The 6,592-nt window shown below is 42.7% G+C and overlaps 1 annotated feature.

Annotated features, from left to right (window-relative positions):
- Positions 5,271-5,886: an enhancer, noted in NCBI's record as "NANOG hESC enhancer chr9:82380198-82380813 (GRCh37/hg19 assembly coordinates)". NCBI's record gives its function as "activates a minimal SCP1, AML or CMV promoter by ChIP-STARR-seq in primed H9 embryonic stem cells {active_cell/tissue: H9 hESC(primed)}" and the evidence as "EXISTENCE:reporter gene assay evidence [ECO:0000049][PMID:30033119]".

A 6,592-nucleotide genomic window follows, 5' to 3' on the forward strand; every position in this document is an offset into this window, starting at 1 on the left:
GGATAAAAGTTCATGGATTTTGTCTGTTATCTGCAGGGGTGAAAGGCTCACTGTTCTACTTCCCAGAATTGTAGAAAGTCATGTTGGGGTGGCACTTAAGATGGGTAGGGGATGGCGGGCAGGGATATCAACAGAAATCCAAGCTTACTGGAAAACATGGCCACTGGGGGTTGCAGATTTATGCCCAGGACCTCCCCTTCTCTTTGTGTTTCACAGAGGATGATGGCCAATCATTTTTGTTGGACACACCTGCATCCAGGCAATTGAGGGAGTGAGAAAACACATGCCAATCATCTGACCTGGGTGGTGAAGCCAACCTCTACAGTGTTGTCCCCAAAGGTGGGGCAGAAACTGGCTCTTTGCTTTCCAGCCCCATTTCCTTGTCCAGTGCACACTGCAAGGCTACTTAGGTTAGGGCTACGGGGTCTAAGTTCTGGATAATGGAACATGTTACATGGGATGTGATGTCCAAGCCTGATGATGGAACAGCAGCCTAATATTTCATACTTTCTTATGTCTCTTTCTTTTAGCCAAATGCAGAGGAACCACTCTGAGAAGCCACCGGATGTTAGGAGCCTGTGTTCCCAAATCACCACATTGAAGGCTGGCCACTGAAAACCCAATTGGATGATGATGTGAGCAAGAAATAAGCCTTTATTTTATGAAGTCAGTGAGATTTGGAGGTTGTTAGTTTCATGAGCTAGTGTTAGTAACTATCAAAAAATATAAAAGATCATAGTTCCTTTCTTCAAAGATACTTCTGACAAGGAACTGTGCTGGGTTGAATTCAGATAATGCTCTAGGACAAATCTTTCTCATTGGTATAAAAAAGAGGCTTGTCATCTTTTCTCACTACCTTTAAAGTGGCTAGGCAAGCCAGGCTCTGCCCATGTGTTGAGTGATCATTCAGAATTGGTATTATAATTTGGCAAACAAAAATGCTTTGATTGATTAAAACAATGGATCCCATTTAGAGTTTTTTGGGTGTCTGGAATTTTGAACATTGGTTTACCTTTGCAAATGGTAAAATAATTGCTGGGTATTTTTAGCAGAAGGTGTGATATGATTTAGGAGATGGCATAATAATTCTGCAAAAGTCTGGACAGGCTACTTTTTATGCTTCAGGGTAGATTACACATAATAAACCCATTGGATGAGGGGAAATACAGGCCACAAATGCTATTTTATGTATGTGGAATGTGGGGAGAGAAATGAGCCAAGGGAAAAAGGCTAGAAACCAAAGTGAATGAGCAGGCAAAAATGATGGTCAGAAGGGGAGTTTTCCAGTGATTTTGTTTGGCAGACATTAAAAATATATATAAAATTGCAGATTGTAGTCATAGTAATGGAACCTGTAAGGTGACACTTTAGTGCCCATGATGTAGGCATGGTGATCCTACATGAATTTATTCTTCTCTACAGAGTAGGTAGGAATAAGACTTTACTTGTTTGATGTAAGACACATAGTGACATTGGAAAAACTATAATATCTGAGTGGCCTCTCAGACGAGTTAGTTACACATCAGCTAAGGCATTAGATGTGTTGGGCACTTGTCACATAGAGCCATGTATTCTTGTTTTTCATGTCCATGTCCATAAGGCAGCCTGGTGCAATCGTTGACTCATGGGTCAGAAATCTAAACTTAAATTTTGACTCCATACCTTATTCTAGGTGTAACCCTAGGCACATTCTATAACCCCTTGGAGCTTTAATGTCCACTCCTATCAGATGAGGATCACACAGACATTTTATGAGATACAAATGCAAAACAAAAACAAAAACAACAACAACAACAACAACAAAAAACAACCATGTGAAAACCGTGACAGCAGTACCTGGCATATCACTAGTATTCAATCCAGTAATCCCTTCTTTCTGTCTTCCATTTGATATGAAGTTCCTTGAGGGAAGGGATCAGGGCACGCTCATTTTGCATCACCTTAAGGGCCTGGCACATTGCAGATACTAGATAAATGTTTATTAAATGCACAAATGAAAAGGGCCAGTGGTCAGATTATGGGGCTAACTGGACTCCAGTAAATTAAAATACTGATTTTTCTCCTCTCACGAAATTTCCCTTAAGATGGGTGTATTAGATAAGATTTAATTCCACAGCATTCAACAGAGACTCAAGGACAGTGGCTAAAAAGATAGAAGTTCATTTCATGCACATGCAAAAGCCTTACTATAGGCAGAGCAGGGCTGGTGTCCTGGCTCCAGTGGAGGTCCCAGGGGCCTTTGACCTCATCGTCCAAGATGGAGTAAAGGCGGGAAGAAGCTGCCCGCAGACACTGCCTTTAATGAAACAGCCAGGAAACTCCCTCATGTCCCCTTAGCCAGAAGTTCTAGTTGCAGCACCGGGAATGTGATTTTTAGTTCAGGTGGCCACGCAGCTTCCATTAGCTTGGGAAAGGAGAACAGATAAAACAGTCTAAAGTTCCTCCCATAGACTTTCTTCTGTAATACTGCTTCGAAAGTGGAATGATTGCTGGTATCACATCCTGGACCATGAGGTTGGTAATCATGTCCCAGTGACGGAGGAGAGAAAGGACAGAAGCACCCCGAGTCCCAGATAAAGGAGGAGCTACCCGACAATCTTGAATTGCCTGTTTATGTGTGAGAAATAAATTTCTTTCTGAAAACTCTGATTCTTTTTGGATCTTTGTTGCCCACGGCTAAATTTCTACGCTAAGCACTACAATCCAGCTGGTGCACATGCGCGCCTGTGTGGCTCTAGGTGAGCATGGAGCGCTTTAACTCTTCCGCGCATGCTCAGCCTTAGCCATTGCCCAGGATGCTCCGGTCCTCTCACTTTTCGTCCTGCCTGGGCAGCCCCATGGACTGGCAGGAAACCGTTCTTCTCTCCACCCAGCTATGGCTTCATTCCATTAGGCTGGAATTTAAATCAGGGGTGAGTTAATATACAGAATTGTACCCCAGTGGCCTCCAATTTATTCTCTTCTCACTTATGGGGTCAGGCCCCGTATAGTTATGTTTTATACTAGCAGTACAAATTGTACAAGACTCTTACAAAAATCAAGCCAATCAGAAGTAATAAGATGATAAAACTCAGCCCTCCCTCACTGTAAGAACTCTCAGCATGTGAAAATTTATATATGTAGAATGATAATGCCTCTACAAAAAGACGGATCCCATTACAAAATAATTACTGAAAACCTAGTAGTTTGCTAAAGACCTAAATACACGTAAATAGGAGCATTTCCTTACAAATTTACGGTACTGTGCCCAAATTTTGCTCACTGAAAATGTTCTCTTACTGCATCTGTTACACAAAGATAGACCAGCTCAAACACCCATCCTGGGTCTGGATAAAATAGATGGAATTTTATCAATCTAACTTTTTTTTTCAGTGTTGCTGCTTTGACATTAAGTAGGCAGTATGAGTAACCTGAAGGAATAGTAAATAAATATATTCTAAAGAAATAGTAAGGGAATTAAAGTAAAGTGGTGTTCCGGTGTTCACACAAGATCAAGCTTTCTACGTTTCTTCTCCATTACATTTTATCATAGTTCTGACACACCTTTTTTTCACATTTTAGAGTTCATGCCTTGTGTACTTTACAGTTTTATACCGTGTATGTTTTTAATGTCATTAAAAAAAAAAGCCTCAACTCTAGGCATTTTCACTTCTTATGCCGTGGCTGATACTACAGAAGGTTGGAACTAAAATAATCATGACCCCTTAAGGCAAGACCTCCAGCTTTTGAAGTGGGCCAGACTTCATGCCTAACAGCTTGAACCTCTAATAACACAGAGGGATAGAAAAAGAGCCTAGGATGAGAAGCCAGCCTTTCATCTGGGCTGTCTTTTCCTTCTGAGTTCTTACAAAGGACTACTTTAATTATCTATTCTGTTGCTTTTCTTAGCAGGCAGAAAATTTTCTGGGTTTAAATGTAACATCTTTCTTTACCCATGAATCTATGGAGAAGTCCACTTTTCATGAGCAGTCAATTAAATCACTCATCAGCTCTGCGGCCCCAGTTCCATTTGCAGCTCACACTGCAACTTCATGAGGAGGAGAGGTGCTGGCAGGCATCCAAGTCCACACACCAGGCTACAAAACCAAAGTTTGGGAAGTGTTGAGTACCATCTCTACAGGATTATGCCGCCACAAGTGTGCCATTGTGAACCGCCGTCAGAGCCCTGGATTAGGTTTATTATCTCCTCTTCCATTCCCCGGGAATGCCTGCTCCAGATAGGCAGGGACTGGCAAATCTTTTACCAGCATTCTAAGTACAAGTTTATGGAACAAAATTCAGTTAGCAGAGGGAAAGGCACGCACAGATACAGACCATACATGATTATCATTATTGTACAAACATCTGGCTTCCACCCAGAATATCCACTCTACAGTCCATCCTTATTCTCTGCCTCTGGAAAGCAGGATGCTCCCTTTCCAGGGCTCCTCATCCAAGCCTGCCTTGTCTAGGGGTTCCCCCTGTGACCAAGGCAGTGAGCTCTGATCTGGCTGGAGTCCCCTGGTACTTCTCCAAGATTCCAATGGAGCGTGCTCATTAGGAGTTTTGCTTTTCTTGTTTCTAGGTTCCCCACGTTGGTTGTTGAACTATAGTCACTCCACTTGGAGAAAGAAAGCAGAGAGAACCCTCGGGGGTTCATTCCTAAAGCAGTGACTCACTTTGTCTTCTTGCCACTGTTGCTGGCCTATCATCTACCTCCATCTGTCTCTATGCTGGACCAAGCAGACACCAGAGACATTTAAAAAAAAGTCTCTCTGCATCAAAAATGATCAGCAGAACCCCACCTAATCATAGGTCAGGTGCTTCCAGCTTGAATTCTTCTCCATGACAGACCCCTGCAGATGAACTCTGGTGGCGACTTTCTGTTCTGCCTTTTGTTTTGTTCCTGTGTGAACCACAGTTGCTCGGCTGAGTGGAGGGAAGACAGTGCTGAACTTGAAGCCGGCAGACAGCAGTTTTGATCCTCCTGGCTTGTGAACTTAGCATTGGTGTAACCTTCAGATATTGTTTAACCTAATTGAGACTCAGTTTCTTCACCAGTAAAATGGATACACGAAAGCCCCTGCTGAGTCAGCAGGAGCTAACAGAAACCCCTTCCTCAGGCCCTCAGACTTAATCTCCATATGATTAAGGATTTACTACACGTGTTCTGTTTAATAGCCAAAAGCCAGACTCACTTGAGAAAGTACAAATGGAAGCCAATATCGAAATCTAGAGACTACTAATTGATAGAAAAAAGCTCAGCAGAGTCTGATATATAGTGGAGATTCAGCGGGATTAGCACTCTTTGCCTTTACAGCAGTCCCCTGCAGCACCTGATGGATATGCTTTCACTCTAGATTCCAGGCAGAAATCCCTAGGAAATCAAGGAACAGGAGGTGAAAAGTATTAAATCCTCATTGCAAGACATTCGGTATTGTTAGATTTTCTCTTACAGAGCGAGCTTGTTGGTGTGTGTTCTCTTAAAGCAGAATCGTAAAGCTAAATAGCACTTATCTGATTCTGTTCAGGAGTGATCGCTGAAGGTCTGTAAGTGCCTCGAGGTGAGGCTTCTCTAACTTCCCAGTCTCCTTATTGATTGTGATCGGAGGTGGCAGAGTCTGAGCTTGCCTGAGGTACCTGACCAGCCAAGGAAGGGATTCCTGGGGTATGTGGTCATTTAAAAAACCATACTTGTGGATAAGGCAGTCACGGTGCAGGGGGTCGGTTTGGATGTGAAGGGGAGAGCTGAGGCTATTACCATAGAGGAATTCTTTCTTTAGAAAGGCTTCTCATCTCTCTTCATGTGTGGTTTTGGGGCAGAAAAGAGGTTGGAATCAAATTCTGTTCAGCTTTCATCACTCCCATGTCACTCAGATGGGGCACTCTTACTATTGAAATTAATGCCTTTGGTATTAATTCCGATAGTACGGCTTCCTTGGAAAGATTGATGGCCGGCCTTTGATTCGTTTGCCCTGTGTGCATGTTTACTGAGTACTTACGTGACACATTTTTTCAAGTGTCCTGCAGGTCTTAGCTCATTTATTCCTCACAGCATCTCCATGAAGTGGGCAGCATTTTTATCCCTAATGCACAAAGGAAGAAACAGAGGCAGAGAGAGGCAAAGCTTTCTTAGCACCCTTCTATTGCTAGGGATCCTTTATGTTGTACGGCTATTGACTTGAAGGTCTCAGTTTCCAATGAATTTTTCCTAAATGATCTAGCCCGCACCATTTGCTCACTAAGCAATTAGTATGTTTGTTTCACACAATGACAGACAATCTGGACAGTAGGGGAGAGTACCACCGGGAGGCATCGCTGATACTAGATCCTGTATGTCATAGAGCAGATGGCCTGGACGGTCATAGAGTACACCTGTAATTTTAAGATATTTTCTCAGCCTCTGACCTCATGCCTGTGGTTCTGTAAAACATCTCACATTTCCTTCCAAAGCAAAGGCACCAATGTGCATTTCTTCTCAAATGATTTTGAAAGCACTCTTGATAGTCTATCCAGTTTGAATACATTTGTGAAGCAAATTCCAAAATTGCGTATTATATCTTCTGGAATGGTGCTTGGTTTGGATATGGTTTATTGGTCCCCACCAAATCTT

This window comes from Homo sapiens, chromosome 9, assembly GCF_000001405.40.
Source record: "Homo sapiens chromosome 9, GRCh38.p14 Primary Assembly".
Taxonomy (NCBI): Eukaryota; Metazoa; Chordata; class Mammalia; order Primates; family Hominidae; genus Homo; species Homo sapiens.